This window comes from Homo sapiens, chromosome 6 (assembly GCF_000001405.40).
Source record: "Homo sapiens chromosome 6, GRCh38.p14 Primary Assembly".
NCBI classification, from domain to species: domain Eukaryota; kingdom Metazoa; phylum Chordata; class Mammalia; order Primates; family Hominidae; genus Homo; species Homo sapiens.
In genome coordinates this window covers 24271823-24289710 of record NC_000006.12, presented here as the reverse complement: position 1 = coordinate 24289710, position 17888 = coordinate 24271823, and the positions used below count along the sequence as shown (strand labels likewise).

General features: G+C 39.2%; 1 protein-coding gene across 2 annotated transcripts in view; it reads left to right on the top strand.

Annotated features, from left to right (window-relative positions):
* DCDC2 (doublecortin domain containing 2) overlaps window positions 1–17888 on the top strand; it is a 211538-nt gene that overhangs the window by 93582 nt on the left and 100068 nt on the right. For both annotated transcript variants that reach the window (NM_001195610.2, NM_016356.5), the window contains 2 exons: window positions 805–859; window positions 11500–11662. In NM_001195610.2, coding sequence (NP_001182539.1) covers window positions 805–859; window positions 11500–11662 — 218 coding nt within the window. The remainder of the gene's footprint in view (window positions 1–804; window positions 860–11499; window positions 11663–17888) is intronic.

The window sequence follows — 17888 nt, the reverse complement described above, 5'->3', positions numbered from 1 at the left end:
ACTATGCAAGAGCACATGGTTTTCTAGCACCTTTGAATTATTTACCAGCTGACTTATCGCTAACCAACCTTACCCATCCATGAAATCAAATCTTTAGCCATCTTTGCTAAGCAGCCCTAGGTTAACCTGCTGTGATCAACAGTGTGTACCTGATGGTAATAAGAAAACTGTAACTCACGTTGGCCTTTCTCATACAATTAATAAGAATTTTTTTTATATATGTGTCCTTCTATTTTTGGAGAGATTCAGTTGGGTTTCAAGATGGGTCTTTTCCTAATAATACAGATATCAACAAAACAACTTATTCTTACAGCCTAAAATAATTTTTAACTTTTTGGTGAGGACGACTTGTTTAAAAACTACCTGAATGCAAATGCCAGTGTTTTACCTCTGCTCTCCTATCAGAGGTAGACATAGAAGACATCATAGAAACGAAGGAAATTTGTTTTTAACTCAGTCTGGAAAAATCATTATTCACATTTGGAAATGATTTTTTGAAATGCAAATAGGACACTTTGGGATCTGGATAAAAATGCTATACAAATTTCAGGTGATACTAAAAGTTTACTTGTAAGCATTGATTAAAATATTATACAGGAAAACATTACAAATCTTTTGGGATGGAATTTGGAAATGTTATGATCTTTGTGAAATTGGGAAAGTATGTGTTAAAGTGTATGTTATCTACCTTTTGTGAAACACAGCAGTAAACAGTTGACTTCCAGGTGGGGATGATAATTATCTTGCATTGTACATTATTTGTAAACAACATTCAGATTTCTAAATTGCAATTTGTTTCCACAGTCAGAAAGCTTCTTCACTACCTCCTATTGTAGGATCCAGAAAGTCTAAAGGGAGTGTAAGTATCAGATGCTTTCCTCGTTGATGTTCTATATTTTTATATGATACAAAGAGACTGTCCTTTGGGCTTCAATTAAGTTCCAAGAGATAAAACTTAGCCGCTTCGTGGTGTATAACCAATTATGTGAAACAGCACTAGAACTTTAATGTTACACTTATGGTCCTAAACAGAGCTAACATTTTTTAGAATATGTATTTTAAAATTTTTTCCTTGTATATACACCTGACATAATTTATATTGCACTTAAAATCTTGGCAATAATACTTTAAACTGTAAGAACCATTGTAGTAGGTCACATCAATGATCATCCAGTCTTGGTTTCTATCTTTAACGAAGACTAAAAGGGAAGTTTCGCTGAGAAAAGGGGTATAATCCTCATTAATATTCCTTGAAAAGATTGAGAATTGTTCTAGGTATTTAGTTTGCCATCTGAATCTTTTCCATTTATCATTTATTCATGGTTTGTTAATTCAGCAAACATTTATTAAATACCTACTCTGTGGGAGTAACGACAGCATTTAGTAGGTAATTTCCTAACCTTCTTGTGTTTTCAGTCTGCGCTCCCTGATGGGGTGAGCTCCATGTCATGCCAGAGCGTTGCCTTGGCAGTTCTTCCTGGCTGAGGCTTCTCTTTCTTCCCTTTTGGTTGAATTGCCCGACAAGTTGTGATCAGAACTGATTTGACATCTTCCACCCACACCCTGAATTAATTAAGCAACATTCTTATTTTGGTATTTTGTAAAGTAAATGATTTCTAGGCAATGATATTGTCTCCTAATGATTTAGATCCCTCCTTTTTTTTGGTTATATCATGTGAAATTCTTGAAAGAAAGACAAATAATTTTGTGTACATAAGTAGTGCCGAACTCAGCATAACAGATATTAAGAACTCATTAGCTGAGACTCTTATACTATTATGACAAAAATAAAATAAAAATCAATAGAGCTCTTGCCCTCAAGCAACTTACAATCTACTTGAAATAAAGAAGATAGCTTAAAAAGGCAACAAACAAGCTAATGCTAAACATCAAATATCTAGAGATTGGTGACCATGAGAGGGAGGGAAGGACTGAATGTACAATGGCAGCAGTCCACAGAGGAAGTTGAATTTGAGCTCTGCCTTTGAAACTGTTTAAAATTCAGAAAAAGGTAGATGAGGGGAGAGGACCTTCAGATCCAAGGGAGGGTGAGATGGTTGGGGCAGACGTGGGCATGCGAAGAAGCAGTCACGCTGGCTGACATTTACCGGGCCCTTGTGGGCTCAACACTATGCCAAGCTCTTTACAGTAGTGATTTATTTAACCTCACCCCACAAGGCAGGCATCTTTGTCATCTACATTTAAAAAGGAATGAAAAAAGGAAGTACACAGAGTAGAAGTGACAGGTTCAAAGGCTCCCATTGAAGGCAGAGGTTGCAGTGAGCAGAGATTGCCCCACTGCACTTCAGCCTGGGCAACAGAGTGAGACCCTGTCTCAAAAAAATGAAACAAAATAACATAAAATACAATACAATACAAACAAAGGCTCCTACTGAGCAAATGGCAGGGGAGGAGGGGAGGAATTGCATCCACACAGCCAGCTCAGAGCTCCTGCTCCCGAGCCCCGGGACAATGAGTCCCTTAGGCTGACTGGAACAGATGGTCCTTTTTGGTGTGGGGGCTGATGTGCCTGACATGGTAGGTGGTGACAGTTATTACATGACCTTGAATAGCAGAATGAAGAGTCTAGTGTTTGTCCTTGAATAGAGGGCAGCCCACAAGGGCTTCTGAGAGGTGAGAATATTAATCTGAGTCCATTTTGGGAGCATCAGATCTTTTACATGGAGGAAGACTTCACGTGGTGAGAAGCCATAGATAAGTCGATGGTTGTAAGGCAGTTGCAACTATCTTGGTATGAGGGGAAAGGAGCCTAGACTGGGGAGGTGGTAGAGGCAGCAGGAAGTGATGATTATTCTGGAAGAAACCAAGGAACAAAGGATTTGTGTGATGATTGGATACAAGGGGTTAATGGAGAAATTGGGGCCAAAGATAACTGAGGTTTTTAAGCTTGGAATTTGAGAAAATGGTAGTTCTATGGCCAAGAAGAAGGCAGCCAGGGCAAAGAATGACCTACGTAATTTCAAACATGTTGAGTTGGAAGTATCATCAGGAAACTTAGTTGAAAGTGTGCTGCAAGCAGTTGTAAATGGCAGAGCTGAGGCCTGCCAAGGACATCAGGACTGAAGCTGCAGTTGCAGGTGGTTTTTTTTTTTTTTTTGAGACAGGGTCTCACTCTGTCACCCAGGGTGGTGTACAGTGGCATGATCATGGTTTACTGTAGCCTTGACCTCCCAGGCTCAAGCGATCCTCTCACCTCAGTCTCCTGAGTAGCTGGGACTCCAGGCATGTGCCACCATGCCTGGCTAATTTTTGTGTTTTTTGTGGAGACAGAGTTTCACCTTGTTGCCCAGGCTGTTCTCAAAGTCCTGGGCTCCAGCGATCGGCCTGCCTTGGCCTCGCAAAGTGTTAGGATTACATGTGTGAGCCACCGCACCTGGCCTGAGTTGTAGATTTGAACAACCATGTAATGGTCCTAGTTGAACAGCAGACGTAGCATCACTGTGGTACTTCATCACCCAGCACAGCTTGAACAGAGCAGGTCTCACTGGTGCTGCCAAGTGAGAGAATGGATGAGGGGCTCCTAGAGGAAGATGGTGCGGTGAGAATTACAGAGGGCCCAGGCTTGAGGCAACCTAACTTCACAGGTGCGGGGTCAAAGAGGAGTGAGAAGAATATTTCAGGAGGTGAAAACAATATCAGAGCAACTATAAAGCTAAATAAAACTCATGAATTTAGGGATTGGAAATTGTATTTTGCTTTTTTTGTTTTTCTTTAGGACTTTGTAGCAGAATCCCTTCTGTGTACTGTATAGATATTAGCTTATTAATTCTCACAGTGCAGCTAGAGGAATGATTACAGAGACCGATTGTAATTGAATAAATTGATCAATAAATTGATCCCAAGTCACAGGGAAAGTCGATGTCAGGACCAAAGTCATGACCCAACTCTTTGTATTCACAGTGACTGAACTTTGGAATGATATGTTTAGTATTCTGAAATTTGAAAAACTAAAATTTTAATTAAAAATGTGTAGAGCATTTCCTGCTTTAAAATGCATGTGTAGGTACACACATGCAATTTTTATTTCTTGCTCATTTGTAAGTTTTTTAGACTGTGCTGTGAATACTGTGATACATCAATGTCATCACATCAATTCATCTGATGATTGAATTTTCCAGGTGTATGGCACAGTAGTAAGCCCCAGGGATACAGCAATGAGCGCAAAGATCTGATGCTCTCTCTGATACTCGTGGTCTACTTGAGTAGACAAAAGTGAAACAAGCGATTCCATTAATCAATGGATACTTATGAAGTATAAAAATGAAAGAAAAGTGCACAGTAATATGAAAGACAATAAAAGAAAAACACATTTAGATAGGTGTGTCAGGGGAGGCCTCATGGAGGAAGTGACGTTAAGCAAAGACTCAGTTATAAGGTATATTTGCATCCCATAGAAAGCAAAGTTGTCAAACGTAGTTCCATGCTATGACTTAGAAAAATAAAATGATAGCAGAGTTTGTCCCTCTTTCCACAGTGTTCCCGTAGCACCCTGTATTCATCCACTCCATCCGTCATCCATTCCAAACATACTCACTGAGCTCCTACTAAGTGCCAGGAACTGTAGGCACTGAGCGTATAGTGGTAGATAGATGAGGACTTAGATTTATGGTGCTTTCATTCTAGTGTGTGTGTGTGCATGTATGTGTGTGTGGGGGGGAGGGTATGGATGGGATGAATGGGAGTAGACAGACGATCAACTAGTAAACAAATGTACAAATAGTTTCAAATGGTGATAAATGCTATGGGGAAAATAAAATGTAGCAGGGCATTGATTTATATAAAATTGTCTGAAACTGAGACCTTAATGATATCTAACACAGCCAATTGTGCCAGGGATGAGGCCGGGGAAGAAGAGCATCCAAGGCAGAGGAAACAAAGTCACACAGGCCCTTGCTAAAGAGCCTGGCATGTGAGGAGGGCAGAAAGAAGGCCGTGAATGAAATCGGAGAGGCAGGCAGGGCTCAATCATATAGGCATGCAAAGAGTTTGGATTTTATTTCTTGATGGGGTGCCATTTGAGGGTTATAGGGAGGGAGTGATATAATTTGCTTCAAAAAAAATTTTTTTTTTTTTTTTTTTGAGACAGAGTCTCACTCTGTTGCCCAGGCTGGAGTGCAGTGGCATGATCTCGGCTCACTGCAACCTCTGCCCCACGGGTTCAAGCAATTCCCTGCCTCAGCCTCCCGAGTAGCTGGGATTACAGGCGCCCGCCACCATGCCTGGCTAATTTTTGTATTTTTTTTTTTAGTAGAGACGGGGTTTCACCATCTTGGCAAGGCTGGTCTTGAACTCCTGACCTCATGATCCACCTGCCTCGGCCTCTCAAAGTGTTGGGATGAGAGGCGTGAGCCACCACGCCTGGCCTGCTTTACATTTTTAAGTGCTCATTCTGGCTGTGGTATCTCTAGAGAAATGGTTTGGGGCAAGAATAGAAGCAGGAGGCAGTGGGACACGTACAGGTATGTGATATAGGTGAGTCCGCTAGGTGGCCGCAGTGGGGGCGGACATCTATTATAACTCTTCTTTGAGTATATTGTCATTGACTGATTCGCTGATCCAACAACTATTTATTGAGTTCATATGATGTCCTGGGACTGTTCTGGTGCTTCAGGGCCCAGAGATTCTGAAGTACTAAATGCACGGAGGTTACATTCCAGAAACAAATGCACAATACGTGTGATATACACCAGGGATAAACATGAATAAAAATACATGAAGACATGGGAAGAGGAAGTGAGAGAGGGTGCTATTTCAGCTGGGTGGTTGGAAAGGCCTCTTTCAGGAGGTCACGTTTGAGTAGAGGAGAATAACCCCTGGCACAGTGCCCAGTGCCTGGTAGGTTCTCACAAACTCGGCTTAGGCAGTGTGTGAATGTTTGGCATTGAGCCACACAGAACTTCCTATGCCAGTAAATCCAAAGTCACAAGCTCGATTTTTAACAGGATTAATTTACTCCTTTCCTTTAATGAATTGGTTCCCAGGAGAATGCATGCATTTTATAGATCATTAGCTGCCTGGCACTGCGAGGAGGGGTGTGAGTGAAGGGGACTGTGTGGGGAGAGCTTAGCTTCTGGCTGTAGGAACCACTGCAAAATCCATGGGGAAAGCACCCTAAATTCATGATGCAAATCAAAGGGGACACAGAACTAGAGTTTTAGAAATTTATTTTTCCCTACATGGCTTTCTAGGAATTGCTCTTTTGCATATAGAAGGGAGTGTGGATGAGGGACTGGTAGAGCTTGAGAGAGAAAGAGAGAAAGCAGCTGCCATAGTGTACACAGGGACCCCTGCTGGTGCGTAACTGAGTTGGTCAGGGAGCCTGGGGAATGCCTTGTGCAAAGCAAGACAGACCAGAAGTCATTCCTTTTATAGCCTCAGTGCTGCGGGAGTCACAGAAATTAGCATGTTGAGAAAAATTTTAAGTTGTGATTCTAGCCTTAAAAACAAAAGGAAGATGTAAATAAATTATCTTAAATTCGCTGAGCTTGAAGAATAAACCCATCTGCAGAAGGCTGTTTTCTAGTGACAAGGTGACACCATGTAGAATCATAGCACCCTCTATCGGAAAAGACGAAAAAATTAGGAAAGTATTTGAAAGTGAAAGCCAACGACTAAATGATCTTTTGTTGTCCTTATTACCATTTGGCTTATACATCTTATGGTCAGTAGTTTACAGGATCAAATATTATGATTTCTACGGTTTTGACAAAAAAATTTCGTTATTATTCAAGTATCACAATGTCACTGTGAAGCAAGTTATACACATATTAAGATGAATTCCTTATACTCCAAAACTCCATTTTGCCATGGGGGAAACTGAGGCTGGTATAGGTAAAAGGGCTTCTTACTCTTGTCATCACCAGATATGCAGATGAGAGAAATGTCAGGTGCAGTCCCCGTCTAGTCCCTACCCCCCACCCCCAGCTTATAATGTCTCTGGGTGCACCCATGAAATACATCGTGAAGGCTGCTCACTGAGGCAAACCTCTCACGAAATTATTTTAAATTTGATGTTTTTTGGTCTATATGTTTTTGGCACATTTTCATGGGGACTGGAAATGAGTTTTTATGCTAATGAAAAAAACCTGAGTTGGTTGGATCTAGTTGGAAAGAGCCTAGGGAACTGTTTAAGAAGTATCCCAATCTTGGCCAGGTGTGGTGGCTCACGCCTGTAATCCCAGCACTTTGGGATGCCAAGTGGGGAGGATCATTTGAGGTCAGGAGTTTGAGAGCAGCCTGGCCAACATGGTGAAACCCCTTCTCTACTAAAAATACAAAAATTAGCCAGGTGTGGTGGCGGGTGCCTGTAATCCCAGCTAATCAGGAGGCTGAGGCAAGAGAATCACTTGAACCTGGGAGGCGGAGGTTGCAGTGAGCCAAGATAGCACCACTGCACTCTAGCCTGGGCAGTAGGGTGAGAGTCTCAAAAAAAAACAAAACAAAAAATATCCCAATCTTGGTAGAGTGAGGGATGATTGGAGGCTGTTTTAGGCTTTTTGTTTGTTTGAGCCAGAGATTTGGTATTCCTTTTGGATATACTGATATGCATGTGAGACAAAGGGCAGGACAGTGGTTGGAGTATCTCAAGGGGTCTAGTTTTTGCATAGGACACCCTGTCAAATTAGGCTGCTTCTTGATTTCTTCCACTTTGAGAAAAAGCCATAATTTGTTACTTCTGGGATGGCTGTTTTAGGGAACCATACTATGTAATAGGAGTTTTTAGTGCTTTGGACATTAGAAAGTTTCAGTGTAGTAGAAAAATCAGACCCTTAGAAAGTTAATTTATTTATCTATAAAATGGTGATAATAATACTTATCTATAAATTTGTTAAGTATTTGTGTTAATGTATATGTAGCATGTAAGGGACACCCAGTGATATCGTTTTATTTCTGGGATAGCTGTATGAGATAGCAAAACTCCCCTATCTCTTATGCTCTGCCAATAGCAATGACTATCTATGTATTTGAGTTACAAGTCACATGTGGAAGCCTTACAGAAAGAAAAAGCTCCCTCTCTCCCTTTGTCCTTTCCCCTCTCTAACTATGTATAATTTATGTAATTGTGTAAAACAAATATATGAATTATATGTGTATATAATTTATATATATAGTGTATTATGTATTTTCACATGAACACTTTAGATGAATCAACTTTTTTCTCTTCTCCCCCTTCACCCTCCTTTTTTTTTTTTTTTTTTTTTTCTTAAAAGCATTTAGCTGGGTGCAGTGACACATGCTTGTAATCCCAGCTATTGAGGAGGCTGAGGTAGGAGGATTGCTTGAGTCCAGGAATTTGAGGCCAGCCTGGGGAACATAGCAAGAGCCTATCTTTAAAAAAAAAAAAAGCATTTCAATTATTTTAAATTTTCTAATTACAAAACAATTCTTTCCTGTCTTAGTTTAGTTTACTTTTTACTCACAAAGTTCCTGGAAAGTAGTTATTACTCAATAATTGAATGCATGAGTGTCAACTGCAAAATCTATGCATTATGTAGTGATTTGAATCAATTAGTCTTTCTTGATACTCCAAAATTACCCTTTTTCGAGTGTCTTTATCAGAAATTTGATAAATCGGAACTTTCCTGTCTATTCATAAACAAGAGTGGTGACTTAGAAAGACACGCACTCCAGAGTGGGGCTTCTGCGTCTCCCTTGTCGTGCCCCTTTGTGAGTAATGCTTTCCCCAGAGAACTGCAGAAAATGATCCTGCTGAGCTACAGGGTTTCCCATTCATTGGGTTCCATTCCAGTCCTTGCAAGTTCAACAGCATCTCAGAACATTCTAGTAAGCTTGCTAACGGCGTGTGAAAGGTTGATCTTCTCATCTAAAGCTTTTAAATTTTTAAAATCGACCATGTGCAGTGGCTCACACATGTAAATCCCAGCACTTTGGGAGGCTGAGGTGGGTGGATCACCTGAGGTCAGGAGTTCAAGATCAGCCTGGTCAACATGGTGAAACCCTGTCTCTACTAAAAATTCAAAAAAATTTACCTGGGTGTGGTGGTGTGCACCTATAATCCCAGCTACTTGGGAGGCTGAGGTAGGAGAATCTCTTGAACCTAGGTGGCGGAGGTTGCAGTGAGCCGAGATTGCACCACTTTACTCCAGCCTGGATGACAGAGTGAGATTCCATCTAAAAAAAAATAAATAAAATTTTAAAATCTTGGGATGAAAGACTCCATTGAGAATAAAAGGGACTATGAGACTTGGCTGATGCTTTTGGAACTTCTGCTATAATCGTATATTTCTTCTGCCAGACAGTTTATGGCAGAGCTTAAGTTTCTCAAGAAAGAATCCTCAAAGAAAAGAAAAAAAAAAAAAACCCCTGGTTGCAGTGACCATAATAATTAAATGGAAACTGTATGTTTAAATTGCAGTTGGAATAGGAAATTAAATTACACAAAAAGTGTTATAGATTTGGACAAGTTTTCATACTGTTAATAAACCTATGCATAATTCATTTACTTGTAGGCTATGACAAAATAGCATAAATAACTTCATTTGTAAGGCTGTGAATTTTTCCATTCCTAATTGGATGATGGCTAAATCCATTTAAATGCTTCTGGATGACTGAATATATAAATGCTTAAAATGAACAGTTATAATAGTTTTCTAGGCAGATTTGTTTATTTAATATTACTACATTTACTTTCAGACACAAGCATAGTACAGATGTTGCATAAAGATTACACTCAATACGGTGTGAGTTTGATATGATTTTTAAGAAAAATATTAACTCTCTGCTCTTGAAGACAGCATTCTAATACTTATTAAACAAACACCATACATCACGCACTGTACTAGTCACTCCATAAGCCTTATCATTGCATCCTCATGCTAGACCTAAAGGCAAGTACATTAACTCCACTCAAATGATGAGGAAACTGAGGCTTAGAGAAATTAAGAGTTAGTTAAGGCATGGTCCCTGTGTTCAGTGGCAGAGCAGTAGCTCTCAGCCATGTATCTGGGGTTTCTAAAACTTGCATTCTTTCCACTACCTGCAGCCTCTCACCACATACTCTCAGGTAAGTTTAGCACCTGAGCATCTGAGAGCCAAGGCTGCCTTAGTAAGGGAGTTTCTTGTTCTTTTTCTCTTTTTTCTTTTTGTTAGAGATGGGGTCTCACTTTGTTGCCCAGGCTGGAGTACAGTGGTGTGATCACAGCACACTGCAATCTCAAACTCATGGGTTCAAGTGATCCTCCTGTGTCAGCCTCTTGAGTAGCTGGGGCTACAGGCATGTACCAGCACGCCAGGCTGATTTTTTTAATTGTTAATTTTAGAGATGGAGGGTCCTGCTATGTTGCTTAGTCTGGCCTCAAACTCCTGACCTCCAGTGATCCTCCCACCTTTGCCCCCTAGGTAGCTGGGACTATGCTTAGGCTGGCCTCAAACTCCTGACCTCAAATGATCCTCCCACCTCTGCCTCCTAGGTAGCTGGGACTACAGGCTGGAGCTACCATGCCTGGCAAGAGGGAGTTTCTTGCTGTAGCAGTGGCTCAGTATCAGCACAGCTGTTCCTTGCAGTAGCCCCCAATGTAGTGGCTGCTATGTGGCTCCCCAGGAGCTGTACTGGGCCAGTGATAAAAGCCACCGAAACTCAACCTCCCTTTTGTGTGGAGGAGCCCACTTTTGGCAGCCACAGGGTCTTCATTGTGAGAGACACATGGGGACCAGAGATAACCATGGAAGGTGTGATCACCCAGGCTGCCTTGTGGGAGTAGGGGCAAGCAGCTGCGCAGCTCCCTCAGGAACAAGTGGGGACATGTGGTCGTGAGCCTCTTGAGTCTGTGTGTGGCTCTGGATTTGCGATTCTTAGAGACCATGGTGGTCACCAACAGACTCGTTAATATTGGAGAATTTCTACAAGCAGAGTGTATGGCTGCTTGTAGGATGACATCTATACACCCATAGCGACAACTTGTTACGAAGGTATTTGTAGATTAATTGATCACTGTAGGGGAAGTCACCATTTCTCATCCAATAGACACTGGCTGGTTCTGCAGAAAGGTGCAGGAGTGAGAGGATTGTTAAGGCAGTGGATTTACAGTGGTTTTGGAGGCAGCTGCTCTGCCCCTGACTGGCTACAGGATCTTACACAAGATTTATCCTCTAAACCCCACTTGCTGATCTCTACAGTGACGTGGTAATAGTAGTGTCTATCTCACTAGCATGAGGCTAGTGAGCTAGTAACTAGGGCTAGCATGAGGATTGAGTGAATACAATTTTATAGAATACCTGGTACATATTAAGAACCCAATGATTGTTAGCTATTATTTTTATCCTCCTTCCTCTCCTAGACCCTTTTGCCTCCAGGAAGATACATTTGGAGTTAATGTATAAAGATAGACAGTTGCAGAACCAGGACAATACACCTCCCTGCCCCTGCCCTGCTTACCAGTAGTTAATGACATGTATTTACTGGGAATGTTTTTGAGAGTTCATTAGCTAATAATAAGGGTCTAATACTTTGCCATTTAGGGAAATGATCGCCACTCTAAGTCAACAGTTGGATCCAGTGACAACTCATCTCCTCAGCCCCTGAAGAGGAAAGGGAAAAAAGAAGACGTGAATTCAGAAAAACTGACGAAATTGAAACAAAATGTAAAATTAAAGAATTCACAAGAAACCATTCCAAATAGTGGTAAGTGTGTTATTATTATCTTAAGGCTGTGATACAATTTTAATTCTTAAATAGATCCATTGTTTCTCTGGGCCCACAGAAGATATTCCTTATTTTCATATATGAGAGTTTTCAAAGAAAATTGTATTTGTATATGAGAGATGCTGCTGTTTTTATGCTTGGTTTTTATTTGTAATTAGATGTTGTGCCATGAGGACACTTATTTTGAGATCAAATATATTTTGTGGTAGTCTTATTTTAAAAGTATGTTTTTTTCATCCTCTGCTCCCACTGATATTGCTTGATTAATATTTTTACCTACAACTACTATGATATTGGTCTCTTATTTGTGTGTCTGTAACCCTTGCCCACATTCATTATGATTTATTAGTCAAAGATCATCTTTACTGAAAAGTCATTTTGTTAATTATACTGATAACCAAGAGAACACTAAATAGACATAACATTTTATCAGTAAACAATAACCTATTCAGCAAAATTAGATGTAGTTTCATCTTGCACTAGCAGGTGAGAGATGGTATAAAATAAAAATAAAAAATTGCATTAGTCCAAGATTTCACTGGTATGAGATAAAAGTGTGGTAGACTAAGGAAGTATGTAATGAAAATTGTTAACTTTGATGTTAGGGTTTTGTAAGAGGGGCGACTTTTGGTTTTATTCCCAGTGTGTTCTCAGAGTGGAGTGACGCTGGGGTGGGAATGGCTGGCTGGGAAGCAGACCAGTGGAATGACTCCTGCTCCTCTTGCCCTGAGATCCCCTCACACACCCCACCCCACCACACCCCACCCGTGGGACTGTGAGGGGTTCCAGGAAGAGGACTGATGGGATCAGGTTTCAGATTAATGGGCAAAGCCTTACCTTCCACCTGGGAGCTCCAGCTTATTTCAAAGTCGATATGAAGAGTTACATTAGAATTAGAGCTAATATGAGCTTCACAGCTGAGGAGACAGTTTGAACTCCTGTGAGAGTTTAGAGGAAGCTGCACAAATGATTAAAGAGTCAGAACAAAGACACGTGAGGCTAGGTTAAAAGAACAGGCGAAATGGGTGAACCAGTTGCACAGAGAAGTGGAGGGGTCTAAATCATCAAAGACCTAAATGATCGAGACTAGCTGGAAGTCAGGAGTCCTAGATTCTCGTCCCAGCTCTGCCATTGACCTTGGGCAGCTCATTTAACTTTTTTTTTTTCTTTAGCTCTATTATCTATCTGAAAAATGTGGGTTCTTATGAAGATTTCTTTTTAAAGTTTTGATTATCTTGAAATTTGTACAGTCCTTTCCCGTGAGTAGCAAACAAGGAGGCTAGGGTGAAATACAGTCAACAAATATTTACCGAGTGCCTATTGTGTGACAAGAATCAAAGAAAAGAAATTAGCCCTAAGAACATACCCTACCTTGAACACTAAAAATAAGAGAGGCTTTAAAAAATTAATAGATACTAGATTGTGAGGCCCCCAAAGCCTTGGGCTATGTCCTACTAGTTTTTTCTTATTTCCAACAACTGGCACAGGTCTGAGGCACTTAATAATTATGTTGAGTGAATGAATGATGGAAGTTTAAAAATAGTTAATTCTGTAATACTTTAATACCCATCATGAAACAGGATCCACCTTAAACTTTTCATTTTTTTTTTTTTGTTAAAAGCCTTTTATAAGATGTTATTTGCTTCTTTTCTGTGAGGTTCTTGTTAGCCTATGAAAATCCCAATCCTTACTTCCAGTATATTTTTAAAAAGTCTTTAAATTAAGTAGTTGTCACCTGGAAGAAAGAGAATGATCATCTTTTCAGGTTATCTCATTTGTAAAAACTTGAGAACACAAGAGGCTGTATTAACATATCCCTTGTTCATAGGAAAGTAACCTTCATTAAAAAGTTGAATTATTGGCTGGTACAGTGGCTCACGCTTGTGATCCCAGCACTTTGAGAGGCCAAGGTGGGTAGTCGGATTGCTTGAGTTTGAGACCAGCCTGGGCAACATAGCCAAAACCCGTTTCTACAAAACAAATAAAAAAAATTAGTGGGGCACAGTGGCATGCACCTGTAGTCCTAGCTACTTGAGAGGCTAAGGTGGGAGGAACACTTGAGCCCAGGCGGCTGAGGCTGCAGTGAGCCATGATCGTGTCACTGCACTCCAGCCTGGGTGACAGAATTAGACCCTGCCTAAAAAAAAAAAAAAAAAAAAAATTGAATTATTGGCATTTTTGCTTTTGTAGAAATTCACAGTAGTTTTTAACAACATTTGTGTTGGTGGGCATGAAGATAAAAAAAAGTGTTTATTATTGAAGCAAATAGTATTTTGAAAAGAAAAGGTATAAGCCTTCCTGTTCTTTTATTTTTTTCTTTAGAGAATTTTGCAGTTGTTTTAGACAGTAGCCCATTTTAAGTCTATATTTTCCAATGTGGTTTTATAATGTGCAGATTATAGGTTTTAAATTGCTGGATCTCATTGTTACAGGAAACGCTGCTGGTGTCTTTTAAAGGAAGGTTTTAGGGAATGAATTTTTTTTTCCTTCACTAACTGGCTTGTACCACTGATCTAGAAGCATTTTGTATCTTTTCATTTGGATAGAAAGAACATATAACCTGGAAAATGAATCTTGGCTTCCAAAGACAATTTTTTTCCAGGAAAAATGAAAAAGGATTTTGTGCAGTTCACTAGATTAAACCATCACTTGATAACTTTAAGCATATTAGCTTAAGTCCATACTACTGAAAATTGAGCAATTTGGTTCTTAATGGGATCTCCCTGCAGATGTCTTTGACTACAGAAATTTTCCAGATTATAATATCAAAAGTCCCTCTCCATTTCTCTCTTTAATTCAGCCTTCATATTCATTTATTATTGAAGTTGCTTTTTACTTTAATGTCATATATTTTAGTAATTAGAACCAAGTACGTGCTTTTGAATACTCATGTTTCAAGAGGGCTCTTATTCCTCATAAAGGTAAAAGCAATAAGAATTTGAAGCAAAATGAAAGTGAAGGGTGTAAGAACTCATAATAATGTAAAAAAATGCAAAAATTTGGTTTTAGAGATAAAATTTACATGGCTTTTTCTACTTACAATGTATTTTAAATTTGATATTAAATAAGCTATTTAGTTTTATTTCAAAGTGATAAATTTTAGGGTTAGGGTGAATAGCTATGATTATTTTCTAGCATATGTTAACTTGTGCAAATGTTTGATCTAGTGTTCTTTACCTATATAGTATTTTCATTTGAATTAGAAAAAAAGAGACTTCATAGGTTATCTTGATTTTTTAATAATTAAAATTGTAGTCACATATTTTTTCGTTATTTTTTAAAAATATCTGATATTTACTGATTCAGTTACCAAATGCTGTATGAATGTGCAATGCTTCTATCAGTCTGTAGATGGCAACCTGGGTCTAATTTTGTTCCTTTTTTCTTTTCTTTTCTTCTTTTTTTTTTTTTTTTTTTTTTTTGACTCTGTTTCTCCCTGTAATAGTAAAGCTTAATAATTCAAGCAGAGCAGTGACATATTTCTTCAGGGAAACAAATCTCATTTTCTTTTGGTAGCCAAGATGCAAAGTAGGATTGGTTGGTGATTGATGAAGTTGGGTGTGAAATGCATTTTTAGTGTTGCATTTAAATACCAGCTTAACTGGCCAGCACATGTTTTTGTTACACTTTCCACTTGAGTTGCAGTGCCTTGAGATATGCTTTAGAGGCTGGCAACTAGCTATATTCTCCACTATGACCAAAACAGTAACGATGATTGTTTTGAAATAGCATTTTGGATGATTGATCATATCAATTGGTATTGTTAATATTTGGTACATGAAAAAATGTAGTGCTTTTAGAACCCTTGTGAACGCAAGAAGTATAGTGAATTTAGGTCTCTGTAGGAATATTGAAAGGGCTGCAGAGAAAATGGCCTGGTCTCTTTGACTTACATTGTATTGATAATTGTAAGTACGTTTTCAAGGCAAAGCATTAAAAAGGCAAAAATAAGAGTTGTATTCTTTTGATGGATGTGGCTCTCTTTCACTTTGGGTGAGTGGGCACGCCTGTGTGCCCACACATGGGCCAGTATTCTTCTTGATGCAAATCCTGGTTTATTCCCAGTGTGGTTCTGTGATAGTTTCCATGAAACTTGTGATTTTTAGACTCCTGATGACTGATTGGGAGCAGGTGTGGTGCCGGCAGAAGGATGTCTGAATATTATGACCTTGTTGGGTGACTGCCCTTGAGCAGTCATGCTCTTGAATTTCTTAATAGCTACAACCTGCACATGGTTTGCCTGCATCGCCCCAAGCATGAAGCGTTACTGCAATTCATCCTCAGAGTTATGAGGCATTGAAACTTGAGCTTCTTTGGTTCAGCCATGAATCAACCCAGGCACTTGCATGGTTCCCAGTAACAAGAGACTCTGAAGACAAAACCGGAAGCACATGAGGAAAATGTGCTCTCTCACGTGTTACCTCCTAAGGGATATCAAATCTGGGAAGCAAATATGTAAGAAGGCACCAAGGTGACATCACCAAGTGGCACACTAGTGTTGTTTAATAAGCTAAGGTAAGATTTATGATTCATTGGTGTCTCTTGCCACCACATTCACCCTATACCAGAAATACAGGTTTTCTTTTTTTCTTAATTTGTGTAAATTTAAGGGATACAAGTGCAATTTTGTTACATGGATGTATTGTGTCATGGTGAAGTCCAGGCTTTTAGTGTAACCATAACTTGAATAATGTAAATTGTCCCCATGATGTAATTTCTCATACCTCTTCCTGCTCCCACCCTTCCGCCTTTCCGAGTCTCCAGTGTCTGTCATTCTACCCTCTCTCATGTGTACGCATTATTTAGCTCTCACTAATATGTAAGAACTTGTGCCATTTGACTTTACATTTCTGAGTTATTTGTTAGGATAATGGCCTCCAGTCCCATCCACATTGCTGCAAAAGACATGATTTCATTTTTATGACTGAATAGTATTTTACTGTGTGTGTTTATATGTATGTGTATATCTACATCTATATACACATACCCACAAAGTGTGTGTGTGTGTGTGTGTGTGTATGTCTTTATACACACATTTTCTTTTTCCAGTTATCCATTGATGGACACTTAGGTTGATTCCATATCTTTGCTGTTGTGAATAGTGCTGTGATAAAAATACAAGTGCAGGTGTCTTTTTGGTATAATGATTTGTTTTCTTTTGATATCCAGTAATGAAATTGTTGGATAGAATGAAAATTCTATTTTCAGTCTTTGAGGAATCTGCATGCTGTTTTCCATGGAGACTGTACTAATGTACATTCCCACCCACAGTGTATTGGTATTGCCCTTTCTCTGCATCCTTGCTAACATCTGTTGTTTTTTGACTTTTTCAGAACAGCCATTCTGACTGGTGTAAGCTGATATCTCACTGTGGTTTTAATTTGCATTTCTGTGATGATTAGTGACATTGAGCATTTTTTCAAATGCTTGTTGGCCATTTTTATGTCTTCTTTTGAAAAATGTCTATTGATGTCCTTTGCCCACTTTTTAATGGGGCTGTCATTATTTTTTGTTGTTGAATTCTTTGAGTTCCTTGTAAATTCTGGAATCAATGACAGGGAAATACAGGTTTTCTATCCCTTGGTGGATCACAACTTCCCATCTCAATGGCAATGTGTACTGTGGGATATATGGGTCAGATTTTATACATCAAGTACTAGTATGATAAAAATTCTTAAGATCAGCATTTTTTCACACCTTCATGATCCACTTATTGGAATGATATATTGTGCCACAAATTTCTAGTACAGCGAGAGGTCTTAGTAATTTTCTTGAGGTTTATTGTGAATTTAAACTCTATTAATAAAAGTTAGTTTCAAAATGTGTACTTTGCTATCTACTTTAGTACTGAGAGACTGAAAAATTAAAAGTGGGCTGAATACTAGTAAGACGTATGGCTCAATTTGAGTGGAGTAAAATACTAGCCCTTTTTCGAAAAGGATTCTTTTTATATCCTGCCCTCTTAAACACTTTGTTCACTATATAGAGAGAAGCCATGAGGGAAGCATTCTTTCATAGCTGATATAGGGTTGAGACTTCTGCAGTAAATTCTTTTGGGGGTTATTTTTTCATGTAGCCCAGGGTTGAGTTTGAAGACGCTTTTTGTTTTCAAAAGGAAAAATTTGTGAGGTGTTGAATTACAGAGGTATTTTCAAAACTTTGGAAGATTTCATTCCGGAAATTCATTTTAAATAGGTATTTTGAT